This window comes from Homo sapiens, chromosome 18 (assembly GCF_000001405.40).
Source record: "Homo sapiens chromosome 18, GRCh38.p14 Primary Assembly".
In the NCBI taxonomy this organism is placed as follows: Eukaryota; Metazoa; Chordata; class Mammalia; order Primates; family Hominidae; genus Homo; species Homo sapiens.
This window is the reverse complement of record NC_000018.10, coordinates 45731737-45747882: the sequence shown is the minus strand read 5'-3', so window position 1 is coordinate 45747882 and position 16146 is coordinate 45731737. Positions and strand designations below refer to the sequence as shown.

Here is a 16146-nt window from a genome sequence, read left to right as displayed (position 1 = left end):
AGTGCTTGCTTTGGCAGCCTGTGTACTAAAAACCAAAACAAAACCATGTTTACAAAATAAGAAGGAAAGAACTCAGAGAACAGCAGGAACTGAACACAAACTTGAGATTCCTCCCCTTGATAACATCTTCTCCAATACCATTAAAATCAATGAATAAACGTCTTTTTTTTTATTTTTTATTTTTTTTGGAGATGGAGTCTCACTCAGTCGCCCAGGCTGGAGGGCACTGGCGTGATCTCTGCTCACTGCAAGCTCCGCCTCCTGGGTTCACGCCATTCTCCTGCCTCAGCCTCCCGAGTAGCTGGGACTACAGGTGCCCACCACTACGCCCAGCTAATTTTTTTTTTTTTGTATTGTTAGTAGAGACGGGGTTTCACCATGTTAACCAGGATGGTCTCAATCTCCTGACCTTGTCATCTGCCCGTCTCGGCCTCCCAAAGTGCTGGGATTACAGGCATGAGCCACCGCGCCCAGCCAACGTCTTATGTTTTTATTTGCTTTGAGTGGCCAAAAAATTGTAGAATCAGTAATTCGAGTATATGGGTGACTTTCAGTGTAAAACAACAAAAGCAAAGATCTCAACCAGCTAATTATCTATTCCTCAGTTTTGGTTGAAGAGAAGGCTCACAGAGGCTCAGGGAAGCCCTCAGGTTTCATGGGGACAGCCTGAAGAATGACCTTCATATAATGGCCACACAGCCACTTGGGCCACCGGAGCTCACCGTGAGACACACTCACCATCTCGTCTTCATGTCTGGTACGTCAGCTATCTTGGTGTGTGGGGATGTGGCAGACATGGTGGGAGAGGCTCTGTGATCCTCATTTACTTTACCATAGACTTCTGTCCTTTTACCAATATTTTGTCTTTTTATCCTGGTGTTTCTTATTCAATAGTATATCAAATTCTTTCACGTATGAATTGTCTCACACTAGTGGGAAAGGCTGGTCTTTGGAAACAGTACTGGTTTCAAATCCCAGCTCTGCCATTTTATTTGTTGTATAACAAATCACTGTCTTGGAATCTAGTTTCATCATCTGTAAAAAGGCACCTTGAAGATCTGCCTTACTGGGAGGTGAAGAATCTCAAATGAGAGCTTGTATTTCCATAAACACAGCTGTAAATGCATCTCTTTCACCATGGGACTGAGCTACTGCTCTGAGCAGAAGGGTGCTCATGGCTTGGCTTAGAAGGGTTTCTCTCCTTGGTTACACCAATTTCATTCATTGTTGAAATTTAATCAATTAATTTAACAACTATTCATTGGCCCTCTGCCAAGCACTGGGGCCCTCTGTCCCTGATCTCTTGAGTGCCCCCTCTACCACAACACCACCCCTGAGCACATGAGGCCTTGTTGCTTTCTCTCTTTTTAAAATATCCATTACACTTCTAAGGCTCACTTTTGGCACGTTTACGTCTCATACTGTTATGCTGCTGTGAAGTGATCTCCAATTCAAAGTTGCTTTTCTCTCCATAGTACAAGTGATAGATTATTTAATGGTAGGTATGTCAATTAAGACTCGCCAAGTAGGACCGGGAAAGCCTTACAGTAGAGGCGCAATTCTGCACAGCATCATCAGTTTGTAGGCAATGACCCTGACAGCATTCTTGGTAGCTGAGGGAAGAAAAGGCCCTTGAGTACTGAAGGGGAAACTGGATTTCAGCTCCTCCTGGATAGTGTCCCTTCCAATGGACTGCCACAGGTGAGTCCCACTGCGATAACCCAACCATTGGGAAGAGATACACAATATGTTTACACTCTCCACTGGTAAAACAACAACATTGAGATGTTCTCTGGCCACGCAGTTGCTCTGGCTTAGAGGCCAGAAAGACAGCAGTGCCAGGTTCTGTCAGAGTTTCCTGAGTCCACTTCCTGATAAAGCCACTGGGGACTGATAAAAAAACAGCTCTGTAATAAATGTCTGTCACTTATTTATGTTGGCTAAGAGGGTTGGTCTTTTGTTTGGCAGTATCAGGGTGATGTGGACAAGCTGAAACTTGCTGTGGCATTTTACATGTGAGATTTGCTTTCCAAGGGGGGCTGGAGATCTGTCTCAAAAATCCATGCACAGAGATTTAAAAGTCTGATTGTACCTTGTGGGGGCCCAGTGGGCACTCTCACACACTGCTGGCAGCAGTGGAAACTGGTATGGCTCTTTTGGAGATGAAGTTGGCATCCACTGAAATCAAAATTGGCATTCCCTTTAACCCATCAATTTAGCTTCTTGAAAAGAAGGTGAATCTTCTTTCTTACAGAAATGCTTGTACAAAGTACACAAGGACATTTGTACCAAAAATATTCATTTCAGGACTCTTTGTAATGATTTCAAACTAGAAGCAATCTGAACTTCCCCCAGCAAAAGGGCACTTATCATATAAAATGTCTACACAGTCACCATCTCCACAGCCTTGAGCAATGGAGGTTCTACACCCTGTGGCAGGGGACCCCTTTTTCCTTAGATGCACCAGGAAAAATGCAGCTCCAACCTGGGCTTCCATCTCTGCCCAGAGACTCACCCAAACAGCTGGTATCCCGAGGGAAACGTGAGCTCCCAGGACAAGGAAAGGGGACATCCCAGGAGAGCAAATACCATAAAAGAAGGACAACAAACTGAACAACCTACAGTCGATAATTTTTTCTTTGAGACAGAGTCTCTCTCTGTCACCCAGGCTGGAGTGCAGTGGCATGATCTCAGCTCACTGCAGCTCTGCCTTCCGAGTTCAAGTGGTTCTCCTGCCTCAGCCTCCTGAGTAGCTGGGACTATAGGCGCGTGCTACCACGCCCAGCTAATTTTTGTATTTTTAGTAGAGATGGGGTTTCACCGTGTTAGCCAGGATGGTCTCAATCTCTTGACCTTGTGATCCACCCGCCTTGGCCTCCCAAAGTGCTGGGTTTACAGGTGTGAGTCACTGCACCCAGCCAGTAAAATTTAATTAATGAACCAGAAATGGAGAACTCAACAGATAATGTGATCGGTGCAATGGACAGAGCCAAAGAATGATCGGGCCAATCAGCTGAACTGAAGGGCCTCAGGAAAAGATAGATGGAAAATATTAAGAAAAAGTCAAGAGTTATGAAAAACTTAGCATAAAGTATTGTACTCAAATACTAGAAATCACAGAAGGAGAGGGGAAAAATTGAAAAGATTTGACAAAGTAAAAACTGATGATGTTTCCAGAATTAAAGGAAGATATGAGGGCTCATGTTGAGAGGACTTGAGTACCTACTAGCATAGAAAAAAAAGTTACATCTAGACAGATAATAGTGAAATAAAACCATATATATATCTCATATGCAAAGAGAAAATTCAGAGAGTCCAGAGAGAAAAATAAAATCAATTTTAACAAGAATTAGTTTCTTTTCAGACATCTTAATAGCAATTTTGGGTATAAGAAGACAATGGAGTAGTCTTTGAGGACAACTTTCAAAATATTGAGAAAAAAATGTTAAATCTTGAGTTTGGTAGCTAGCTAAACTAAAATTTAAATGAAGGTAAAATGAAGATATTCTCCAGCATACAAGGTCTCTTTGCAAACCCTCTTTGAAGAAAACAAAACTCTCTTTGCAAACCCTCTTTGAAAAAGTAATCCACCAGTAATCCTAGCACTTTGGGAGGCCGAGGCAGGTGGATCACTTGAGGTCAGGAGTTTGAGACCAGCCTGGCCAACATGGCAAAACCCTGTCTCTACAAAAAGTACAAAAAATTAGCTGGGCATGGTGGTGCATGTCTGTAATCCCAGCTACTTGGGAGTCTGAGGCATAGGAATCGCTTGAACCCAGGAGGTGGAGGCTGCAGTGAGCTGAGATTGTGCCACTGCACTCCAGCCTGGGGAACAGAGTGAGACTCTGTCTCAAAAAAAAAAAAGTACAGAAGGTTAATATGAACTAAGTCAGAGTGAATAAGCAAGTTAATAAAGTTTACAGTTGCCTAAATAAGCAAGTACCCAAAACAAAAACTTATACTTACGACAAATCCAAAATAAAAATTCTATACAGTATCAATGGTTTTAGTAGTCATCAGGGGTGGGCCTTCTCAGAGGAAGTAAAGGCAGGCTTGGGTATCAGTCATATTTGGGGAGAAGATACAGATGTTGATAAACTTAAGCAATTGAGAGGAGAAAATAAACAAGCTTGATTCTTAATAAGTTATGCAAATCCACCAGAAAAACTGTTTTTCCAGACTTTTAAATAGTGCTGAGCGAGTGCTAGACACTATTTGTTCTATGAGTTTCAGACATGCATTAACTAACTTAATCATCAGAACAACTGTATGAATTAAATATGGTAACTTCCATTTTCTAAGATGGGGAAACTGAGGCATAGAAAGGTTAAGTAATTTGCTTACATTCATAAGCAAATACGCTAGTAAGTAGCAGACCTGCTGGAATTGAATCCAGGCTGTCTGGCACCAGAGTCTGAGCTCTTTAGCTCAGTTGACTGCCTCAACCATTATGCTACACCAGTTAAAAAAAAAAAAAATCTATCCAAAGGAAGGTGAGTGTGGTAGGAAGAATAATGGTCTCCAAAGACGTCTACATCTTAAACCTCAGAACTTGAGAATATGTGACCTCACATGGCAAAAGGGAATTAGCAGCAGCTGTGATTAAGTTAAAGACCTTGAGATGGAGAGAATTTCCTAGACTATTGAATGGACCCAATGTAATCACAAGGATCCTTATAAGAAGGGGGCAAAAAAGCCCTCTCTAGGGAGTAAGATGGAGTATTTCCACTTTCTGTTTCATACATTTCTATACAGATTACATTTTTGTTTTGTTTTATACAATAAATCTGTGCTGCTTCTATAATTGAGAAAATATCAAAGATTCCCACTTTGGGGAAACAACATGTCAAGAGCTTCGACTTCATTCTTCTCCATGGTCTGTCAAAACCTCATCACTAGCTGGGCACTGTGGCTCACGCCTGTAATCCCAGCACTTTGGGAGGCCAAGGCAGGTGGATCACGAGGTCAGGAGTTCAAGACCAGCCTGGCCAACATGGTGAAACCCCATCTCTACTAAAAATACAAAAAAAAATTAGCTGGGCATGGTGGCACATGCCTGTAATCCCAGCTACTGGGGAGGCTGAGGCAGAAGAATTGCTTGAACCGGGACCCGGGAGGCAGAGGTTGCAGTGAGCTGAGATCGTGCCACTGCATGCCAGCCTGAGCTACAGAGCAAGAGTCCATCTCAAACAACAACAACAACATAAAACAAAAAACTCAGCACCCGCCAGGTGCGGTGGCTCATACTTGTAATCCCAGCACTTTGGGAGGCCGGGGTGGACAGATCATGAGGTCAGAAGATTGAGACCATCCTGGCCAACATGGTGAAACCCCGTCTCTACTAAAAATACAAAAATTAGCTAGGCGTGATGGTGCGTGCCTGTAAGCCCAGCTACTTGGGAGGCTGAGGCAGGAGAACCGCTTGAACCAGGGAGTCGGAGGTTGCAGTGAGCCAAGATCGTGCCACTGTGCCACTGCATTCCAGCCTGGCAACAGAGCAAGACTCTGTCAAAAAAAAAAAAAAAAAAACCAAAAAACAAAAAACAACAAAAAACCCAGAAAAACAAAAACCTCGTCGCCATCTCCTGTGCTCAAAATGCCTTCTCCTTGATCTTGAAGGACATGCTCAGGCTGTCCCCATGCTGGCCTGCACCACACTTTCCACCAAACAGAATTCCTCCTCTTATTTTCTAGCATTTATGGAAAAGCCCCCTTCTTCCTGGAGGTACTTTGTGATAATTCTGAGTGGAAATGGCCCCCTGGAGAATCCTGTACTATGGACTTCTTCTTCTCCCACAAAGATTGCATGGTCCTCTTGGGCTCACTCCCTTGCCTGGCTTCTGCCCTCTATTGTAACACTCTGTGCAGGAACTGCATGGGACCTAAAGCTTCTAAACCCCTTGCTCTTCCTGGTACTGTCTTTTGTATCATGTGTGTTTAATACATATTTGTGGCTACTTCCTCCAGAAAAATAAAGGTATGCATCCCAAATAAAGGTTTGAAACCCCTAACCAATCTCAGAATAAAGCTGAAAGGTTGTAGGATAAACATTCTAACCCAGCTGAACTCAGGTGGAAACCCCTAACCAATCTCAGAATAAAGCTGAAAGGTTGTAGGATAAACATTCCAACCCAGCTGAACTCAGGTGGCTACAGCACCTGTCTGTAATCCTCTCCTTTATCCTTGTGAACGAATATGGAGAAGGAGTTCAACATTTCAACAGAACAGCTAGGTGAAATAGCTGAGTAATAGTAAAGAATTTGACAAAATGACATCTACATGGCTACATCACAGCAACCTGAGTTATGTTACCCTTGCTATAGCATCGAATCAAAATGGAATGGGTCTTTAGAAACCGTTGGTACCATCCCATTTTCTGCCAGTGCAGAAATCTATTCTAAACCCGCCTGATACATGGCCCACTGTTTTCATAACTGTTTAGATACCTTGGCTTGATTAATCTGGTGATAAACTGATTCTAGACATATATTTCCACTAGATTAGACATAATTTCTCCACATTACACTATCCCTCCTCCTTTTTGTTCCCAAGCAAATCTCATTCTCTCCACTCTAGAATATTATCTTAAATGCTTATACTTTGATTGAATTAGGCATGCCAGAGGCTATGGGTGAATGAGCCTCCACTCAAAATCCACCTGGGATCTATTAGCTTTTCAGATCCAAATCACATGCAGTCTGTTTTCACCTAAGAGGTTGCCGTGAGGGCCTGAATGCTATAAAAGGGAAGCAGAGGAGTGCGGTGGGATAACTCTGGAGGTGGATGGTAAGTGTGGGTTCCGGGGGTGGATTTACCCATTGCTGTCCAGATTCCCTGCGGCACATCCCTTAGCCTCTCTGGCCTCAGGACCCCAACAGTAAAGTAAGAAGGATGGAGTAGAGGTCTCAGGATGCCTTCTCGCTCTGACAGGCTGAGTCTGGCTAGAACACTGGGAGTCAGAAAGGATTAATACAGCAGTTCTTGAAATGTGATCCTGAGAGCAACAGCATCAGCACCCCCTGAGAACTTGTTAGAAGTGGAAATTCTGCCGGCATGGTGGCTTATGCCTGTAATCCCAGCACTTTGGGAGGTGGAGGCGGGAGGATTGCTTGAGCCCGGGAATTCAAGATCAGCCTGGGTAACATAGGGAGACCCCATCTCTATAAAAAATAAAAAATTAACCAGGCATGGTGGCACGCCTGTGGTCCTAGCTACTTTACTTGGGAGGCTGAGGCTGCAGGATTGCTTGAGCCCAGGAGGTTGAGGCTGCAGTGAGCTGTGTTCACACCACCGCACTCCAGCCTGGGCAACAGAATGAGACCCTTTTTCTTTTTTTTTCTTTTCTCTTTTTTTTTTTTTTTTGAGATGAAGTCTTGCTCTGTTGCCCAGGCTGAAGTGCAGTGGCGCGATCTTGGCTCAGAATGAGACTGTTTTTTAGAAAAATAAAAAAAGAAATATTCTTCCCCTTATCTCTGACGCTGAATCAGACTGAGGAGGGGGCCCAGCGATTTGTGTTTTAACAAGTCTTTCAGGTGATTCTGATGCATTCTGAAGTTTTAGAATGGCTGGGTTACTGTGATGCTCACTCAAAGGGGTAAATGTAATCAACCCTGATTTACCAGGGGACATTGCTCTGTATTTAGCTGGAGTTATTCCCGTTTAGTTTGTTGGGTCAAACAACTAGTTTGAAGAACGCAAGACAAGTCAGTTGAAAGCAAAAGGAGTGTCAGCTGAGGTCCTTGCCATCCCCAGTGGGAGGCATGGCAGATCCTCACAGCCAGGAGCAGTGAGTGCCACCATTCTAGGAGCTTATTGGTGGCCAAGGCCAAGTGTCAGTGCAAGCTGGAGAGCCCGTGAGCACAGGGGGAGCTTTGAGAAGGCATGTGTGGCATGCACCAGGGAAGGGCTGGTGTATCTCTGGGGATAAAGCTGAAGAATAACTGGGATTTTTCTTTTTCTATCCTCCCAAACATCCATGTTTTAGGATATTAATATGACTCAATAGGCTCCTGCCTTCACAATCATCAGAGAGGTAGGCAGAGGTGATTTTAATGCTCTCAGAGAGGGGACGTCACTTGTCCTGTTCACACACTTAGACAGCAAGTGGGCTCAAGCCAGAACCCTGGCCCTGATTTTTCATGCAGTCCGTTTTTACTGCTTATCCTTGATTGAGATCCTGTAGTCATGAGCAGCCCTCCCCCAGGGGCGTGGGAGACTCACCACAGCCAAGAGCCAGGAGGTGGGTTTGCCAGGTGAGCGCCATGAACATTCCTCCCATTGCAATGCAGGCCAGAGAGCTGTTGAAACCCCAGAGTCCAAAGTAGATGTCCTCAAATGGGGCTGAAAGACTGAGTCCTGTTAAGACAGGAGGGGTCAGAACTCAGGACTAAAGGCAGGATGTTCTGGAAGGAAACTGAGGGTGGGATTGAAAGTTAGCAGGAAGCATCCCGGGAACTCCCATTGGTCCCTAGGAAGCCAAGATCTCAAGGAAGATCTGGAGCACAGAAGATGCCTGAGGCAATGCATGGGATGGAGGAGGTGCTCAATATTTGGTAAGGGCTCTTGTGCTCACCCGCTGCTATGCCCAGCAATGATCCTATGGCAGCATGCAGGCACATGAGTGGGGAGGAGAGTAGGATGGCTCCCAGGAAAATGCCCCCTGTCCATGGATTATCACAGCCATAGATCTGACCAACTCCCACTGGTATAGATTTCAACAACTGCAAAAGAAATTTAAGAAAAATGAGGCTACCAAAACAACTGAACAGAAACCCACAGGACACCCACAAACTCCTACAATGTAATTTTAGATTGGACATACCTTACCTCTTTCAAGAACAGTGTTAATACCATTTAAAATTCTCTCTCTTTGATTACAGAAAAATCCCAGTCATCCTTCAGCTTTATCCCCAGAGATACACCAGCCCTTCCCTGGTGCATGCAACACATGCCTTCTCAAAGCTCCCCCTGTGCTCTCCTGCTTGCACTGACACTTGGCCTTGGTCACTGTTAAGCTCCCAGCTTGGTGCCACTCACTGCTCCTGGCTATGAGGATCTGCCTTGCCTCCTACTGGGGATGGCAAGGACCACAGCTGACACTTCTTTTGCTTTCAAATGTCCATCAGTGTTGAGGGTGATTTAATCTATCCATGCATCCCTATGTTCAATAGAGATTATTATCACTATGCAATTTGGATGCTTACACTAAAGCCAGAGACCCAAAGCCAGGTTATCTTGTCCACAATTTAGAAGTAATTTTTAGCAAGTTTGTGAATTTACTTTTCTGTCATTAAGTGGAACATGTATTCATTTAAACAAAGATATTTTTAGCTTATTCTAGTTATGAACAACTGTCAAGCAGGTCTCAAAACACAAAAATACATGGAAATGTCATAATTCTACTTTCTGGCTGAGGCCTGAATTTAGTTATTCTGTTCACAGAATTGCAGTTCTCAGGAGTGAACAAGGTTTAACTGAACCTAACAAGTGATCATTCTTTACAGCTGAACTTCTGGTAGGGCTAGGATAGGCATAATTAGCCATAGCATGTCCCTTTTGAGCAAGGCCATTTACTGAAAGATGTTTTCCTCAGTTCCCATCTTGCCCTCTCCACCATTGCTAGGTCGTGTATGTACCAAAGACCTTCTGGAGGCAGTGACTCTACCAGAGGGAGCCCCAGCTTTGGCACAAGGGGAAGTGTCTTCTCCCCTCTTATATTAGGCTGAGTCTAACATTGGCTAAGGGCACCAGACCATAGTGTGAGTTTGACTCTACCCTAAGATGGACTCTAAATTCTTCCAGCCCATGCTGAGTCTTCATGTCTAGACATTTTGCTATTTCTAGACCAGGGAACTTGGCAAAGATGGCATATGCTTTTTTTGTTTGTTTGTTTGTTTTTGGACTTGGCTGCAGAACTCTCTCTCAGGTAGCCATAGGGTTGGGGTTGGTGCTGAGGATGGGCTGTTCATTCAGAGTGAGAAGGACAAGGCTTCCCCTGCCCCAGATCAGCACTGTGCAGGATAACTTTCCGAGATGATGGAATAGTCTGTATCTGTGCTGTCTAATACAGTGGGTCCTAGCCACGTGTGGCTATCAAGCACCTGAGATGTGGCTAGAGAGGTTGAGGAACTCAATTTTTAACTAATCTACATCTAAATTTATATAGCCACATGGGGCTAGAGGCTCCTGTGTTAGTGCAGTTCTAGATCGATTAATGCTATTTTATACTGTTATTTTTCATGGGTAGTTCTAATGAATCTTTGATTTTTTCCTTCTGAATTATTTCCAGGTGCTCCCTTTAGTTTTCTGGCAAGAAGCTAGGGAGAAGGTGACTTGAGCTCCTCGTGTGTTTTGATCACTCAACAAAGAAGACAAAAGGGCGTTTCATAACCTGACAGTGGGAGAGCACATTAAAAAGGTAAGGTTTCTTTGGTTTTCTTCTAATTTCAGGTGTTCTCTTGTTCTTGATAATCCAGAAACCTTAAACATATTTATTACACACCAACAGGAAGAGCTGGAATTTGATTTGGGTTAACCAGGTTTTAAAAAATACAGAATCTCTTTATAGCCATCTTTAAAGAGATACATAGGATTCACCCCTTGATACAGTGGTTCTCAAACTCTGGCCCGCATCACAATTTGGGGAGTTTGTTAAAACAGGTTCCAGGCCCCACCCTTAGAGATTGTGATTTAGAGGGTCTGAGATGAAGCCTGTTTGGGTATTTAAAGCTCCCCAGGTGATTCTGATGCCTACCAAAGCTTGGGAACCCTAAATTATTGTAGATGTTCTATGAGCTATGCCATAAGGAAAAGCAGAATAGAGAGGTTCTGTCAGAAGCTCTAAGAGTAAGCATCCAGTTTTTTGATTGGAGGGAGTAGACTATGGAAGATTTAAAACCAGGCTGGAGGCCACATGCCTTAAGGGCTGGCTCCCATCACCCCCACCCCCAAGCTTACGATAGAGTGACTCCCAGTGGAACTGTACTCTGGGGTTAGCACTGTAGATGTTTAGGGGAAAAGGCAGAAAAATCAGCTTGACTAAATAGTAATTTTAAAAAATCCCTTAGACCCTAATGCTCTGGAGTAGAACAAATGCTTTAAATGGCAAGATGAAGGCAGAAAGGCCACCATAGTCCTGAGCATCTAGGAGACTCTGACACCCGTGGACAGTTGACCAGGAGGCCATTGCGTATCTTGCAGAGCCAGGGCGAATGTGAGAAGCCAGTGTCTCTTACCTCCAGGGCACTGAGGTCAGACCAGGAGATATTTGGAGCTGTAGTTATAGGTATGACCAGTTTGGCTGGAAAGAATGGATTGTAATGTCCTGTGGCTGAAAGGTACATTGACAACGCCATGTTGAAAGGGAGGGTGAAGACGGGGAGGTCCCATTTGCTGAGCATGGAATTCAATGCACTTGAGAAAATTGGGCTAAAAAAAGAACAGAGCAAAAGAATGTGCATGTGACAAAGCAGGCTGACACACGGAATCGCTATACTCTGGAGGGGCTTTGTTTCACCTGCCAACAGGCCCCTTACGTGTTGTGTTGGCACATTTGCCACAGAAAGAAAACTTGGGATAAATCCTATTATAGAGGCAGTAAATATTACATAAAGTAAAAAATCAACTCTCAGCTTATTTGGCTTTTGAAAAATTCTACTCTGGGGTTGCTCAGAGTGAGCTATATATTGAGATTTTAAAAATATTTTTGAAGTACTTATGACATACAAAATAAAATATTATCTACATAGTTAAAGTCCCCTTTGTCCCTCCACTTGCTCTTATGTCCCTCCCTCCCCACTAGAGGCAACCCTGATTCTGATTTGGCAGATATTATTTCTTTAATATACCTATTTTTGGAAAAGAGAAACAATCGTTCAAGGATGCAGGTAGTGTGAGCTGGAGGAAAATGATATCACAGTTGGTGGGGCAGAGTGTGTGTCCTTGAGCTGTTGATAAATTGCATGACCTAGGCAAGGCGCATCTCCTTAGCCTCAGAGCCCATAAACTGTGGGGCTGGGCTGCATGGTCCCGAGGTCCCTCATAGGCTCTCACTTGTTGGCCCAATCAAAGAGCCATCACTTAAAGACCAGAACTCCCATTTTCCTGGATTGTGGAAGGGAGCGTGGTGAGCACTTACAGGCTAGGCCTCCTTCCCACGAACCTATTCTTCAGAGCAGGGCCCAAATTACTTCCTGAAGAGTTTAGCTCTACAGGTAGGTCCTCGTCCACACACCCGTGGGTACAGTAAGGGTGGGCATCCCTTCTGCAGACACTGCCCACAGCAGGCTGTGCTTATTTATGTGCATATTAGTATTTTATATTTAACTACAATATAGAAAGAAGGAAATCTTTGTTTCCAGAAAAAGGATGTAAGACATTGTCAACATAAAAACTAGTTTGAAGGATTTGGGTTTGAAAAAAAAGGAATTCAGCAAAAAAATTTTTTCTAAGGGAGACCTGGGGGGCAGGTGGGTAAGGGGGAATTCACGTAGGCACAGTGGTTCTCCCAGCATCATGTGGGAATGCGTTAGAAACGCAAATTCTCGGGCCCCACCCCAGATAGACTGCATCAGAAACCCTGGGGCCGGGGAGCAGATGCCTGTGGTGTAACAAACCCTGCAGGTGATTCTCATATTGCTCAAGTTTGAGAGGCAATGATGGAGGAAGTGGGTCTCAACTTTGGCTATACTTTAGAGTCATCTGGGAAGCTTTAGAAACTCCCAAAGCCCAGGCGCTACCGCAGACCAATGACAGTAGAGTCTTGGGAGGGAGGAGTCAAGTGTATGTGGGGGCCACGTGCATCAGTGTGTTTCTACCAAAAAGACACCTGCACTCGTATCTTCATTGCAGCACTGTTTCCCTTCCCCATGGAAGTGTCAATGTGCAGCCACCTCTGGTTGAGAGGTATTAGTGGATGTGTAGCCAGATCAGACAAAAGGCCAAATAACTGGTTGTAAGGAAATATACATCTTTTAAAATGGTTGTTTCTGTTTCCAATAGACAGAATCTACTGGAATCCAATTTTAAATTTACCATTTTAACTGTTTGTCCTCCTCCTGCTCCTCTTCCTCCTTCTCCTTGCCCTCCTGCTCCTCCTGCTACTCCTCCTCCTTTCCATCCTTCTCCTCCTCCTCCTCCTCCTCACTTAGCCCAAGCAAGGAGGTTCGGAGAACTGGAGTGCGGTGACGCAATCATAGCTCACTGCAGCCCCTAACTCCTGGGCTCAAGTGATCCTTCCCCCTCAGCCTTCTGAATAGTTTGGACTACAAACAAGAACCACCGCACCCGGCTAACCATTTTTAAGTGTGCAGCTCAATGACATTAAGGACAATCACATTGTTGTACAACCATCACCACTATACATTCAGAGAACATATTTCATCTTGCAAAACTGAAACTCTGCCATATAACAACTCCCATTCCCTCCTTCTGCCATGTTTTTTTTTTCAAAAAGGCATTTTGAAAACCAATTGTAACTTACCAAGTCATGGACATAGCACATACAGGGAGTAACAGCCACCAGAAATAGTCTCCCTTGTCCGAAAAGACAGCCATGAGTACTCCCACCAGGGTGGCATTGTAGCCATAGAGCCCAGATGCTATTAATGACCTGTGGGGCAAGAGACACAGCACGGACATTTCCTGGGTGAGCTTTGGTTGCACTTGCACATAAATAACACTAGTAACTTCCAGATCATATTCATATTAAAAAATGAGATTATATTTGGAAATGTATTTCAAAGTCTACGTAAGCATCGTACAAAAACTAATAAAGACATGAAGTGAAATATACATAGATAAAAATATAAATGTGCATTTAGATCAGTGGTCCCCAGCCTTTTTGGCCCCAGGGACAGGTTTCATGGAAGACAATTTTCCATGGATGGGGAATGGGGGATGATTTCGGGATGAAACTGTTCCACCTCAGATTATCAGGCATTAGATTCTCATAAGGAGCAAGCAACCTAGATCCCTCACATGCCCAGTTCATAATGGGGTTCGCACTCTTATGAGAAGCTAATGCTTCTGCTGATCTGACAGGAGGCGGAGCTCAGGTGGAAATGCTCACTCGCCCACCGCTCACCTCCTGCTGTGCGGCCCAGTTCCCAACAGGCCACAGACAGGTACCTGTCTCCAGTGCAGGGGTTGGGGACCCCTGATAGAGAATGACTCCCTCTACAGGTGTCACGGCTAAAGACAGGTCTACAGTGGCTGAGAGGAAAGGGGAGTTTAGTAAGGCAATCTGCTCTGTTTTCTTTTAGCCTTTCCTTTGGAAAGTTATTCTTTTAAATCAAGAGCCTCTGACTTGAAGAGCGCTTTTAGCATATGAAACTGTTGCTTAAGTTTGATTTCTTGGTGAGAGATATAAGATTCCTGAAATGTAAATTCACTTTCACAGTGTCTTTGATCTTATCAACATTAATCTTCCAGGTTAGTATACATTTTTGTGTCCTGATGCTTCTATTTTGTTGTCTCCAAACGCACATTTCAAAGTTATTGCAAAGAAGAACAATTGCTTTTCTCTTACTTGGAGAAGTATCCCATTTAATTATGTGCATGTTGAGCACCCAGTTCTTTCTGAGGTTACTTTTTGCTTAGTATTCAATCTCATTTCTTCCCCGTCTTCTTCTCCTTCTTTAGATTGAGGGGGTACATGTGCAGGTTTGTTACATAGATGTATTGCATGATGCTGACTGAGGTTTGGGCTTCTATTGAACTCGTCACCCAAATAGTGAACAAAGTACCTGATAGGTAGGTTTTCAACACTTGTTTCCCTTCCTCTCCTCTTTTGGAGTCCCAGTTGTCTACTATTTCCATGTCCGTGTTTACCCAGTGTTTAGCTCCTAATTGTAAGTGAAAACGTGTGGTATTTGATTTTCTGTTACTACATTAATTCACTTAGGATATTGGTCTCCAGATACATCCATGCTGCTGCAAAGGACTTGATTTCAATCCTTTTTATGGCTATGTAGTAGTTCGTGTTGTATATGCACCACATATTCTTTATATAATCCACCATTGATGGGCACCTAGATTGATTGACCTGACAAGGCAGGATTCCCACAGCTCTGAGAGTTGGCAACGTCTGGCACCGTGAAAGGCACAGGATCCACTTCCCAAGGGCCTGTCACTCAAGGATGATGTCTGTAGGGGGATGGGGGAGTAAAGATGGTGAAGTGAGTAGGTGAGGCCTAATGCTGGGCTCGAGCAGGAGGTGCTATAGCCAGTGAGCCACACTGCAGGGGCTGGTAAGGGATAGTGTGACAGCTGCTTCTTGGCTTGTTTCTAACTGGGCCAGGAGGCACCATTGCAACAGGCAAGATGATGTCACGTACATTAATCCAGATGAACATTAAATGTGGGGTTCCCTATTCAAAAGTTCTTTGTTTCCCTTAAATAATCCTTGAGGGCAAATGGGAGGTGATACAATTTGCAAAGGTACAACTCAGAGACTGGGACTACACATGACAGTAGAGAGCCATGCAGACTTGTCCTCTCAACAACTGACTTGGAGATGTTAATGCTTGAGTTTGATCAGTGGAAAATTAATGGCAACATCTACAAATTGTGGAATGCCATAGTTAAAGCCACAGGAAGACATATATTTACTTAAAACAGAGAATTTCCATTTTAATGCAGTCTTTTCAGACCAAGGAAAGTAAAACATTTGAAACTAACACATATAAATGACTTGTCTTCTAAATAATATCTGACAAAAAATGAGTTGATCATGTTTCATCAGAGCAAAATCATAAAGGAATATTCAGTATGGCACAATTATAGACTCCATCCCCAAACTGAGGAGACCTTTTCTTGGCATGCATTGGAATAGAGTTTAACCTAAGCTATAAAATCCCCTTCTACAGGGAGCAAATCAGACTCCTTGAAATTGATAGAAAAGTGGAGCATTTGCTAACTCTCTCCCCACGGACCTCTTTAGGCAATTTGCAGCCAGTGTTACAAGAGCTTAGTTGTGTAATGACCACACTGGGGATTGGGATTATGCGTTGATCTCAGACACCTGGAATACTGGTTCCCTCCCTAAAGGAACTGGCTAGTGGGGAGCTATCTACTGCCCTGGTGAGAGTCAGCTCATCACTTCTTCAATGACAGATCAATTTATAAAGTGTGTGCTATTTTTAATCT

The 16146-nt window shown here is 43.9% G+C and overlaps 1 protein-coding gene and 1 long non-coding RNA gene across 14 annotated transcripts in view; one reads left to right on the top strand and one right to left on the bottom strand.

The window, feature by feature from the left end:
- LOC105372093 (uncharacterized) overlaps positions 1-16146 on the top strand; it is a 176501-nt gene that overhangs the window by 34954 nt on the left and 125401 nt on the right. The window contains exons 5-6 of the long non-coding RNA XR_935423.3: positions 606-757; positions 10289-10417. This is a non-coding gene — a long non-coding RNA (uncharacterized LOC105372093). The remainder of the gene's footprint in view (positions 1-605; positions 758-10288; positions 10418-16146) is intronic.
- The window catches only part of SLC14A1 (solute carrier family 14 member 1 (Kidd blood group)), a 28340-nt gene that overhangs the window by 4638 nt on the left and 7556 nt on the right, over positions 1-16146 (bottom strand). For all 13 annotated transcript variants that reach the window (NM_001128588.4, NM_001439164.1, XM_047437758.1 and 10 more), the window contains 4 exons: positions 13481-13609; positions 11235-11427; positions 8573-8720; positions 8221-8355 (listed from right to left, as the gene is read on the bottom strand). In NM_001128588.4, coding sequence (NP_001122060.3) covers positions 8221-8355; positions 8573-8720; positions 11235-11427; positions 13481-13609 — 605 coding nt within the window. The remainder of the gene's footprint in view (positions 1-8220; positions 8356-8572; positions 8721-11234; positions 11428-13480; positions 13610-16146) is intronic.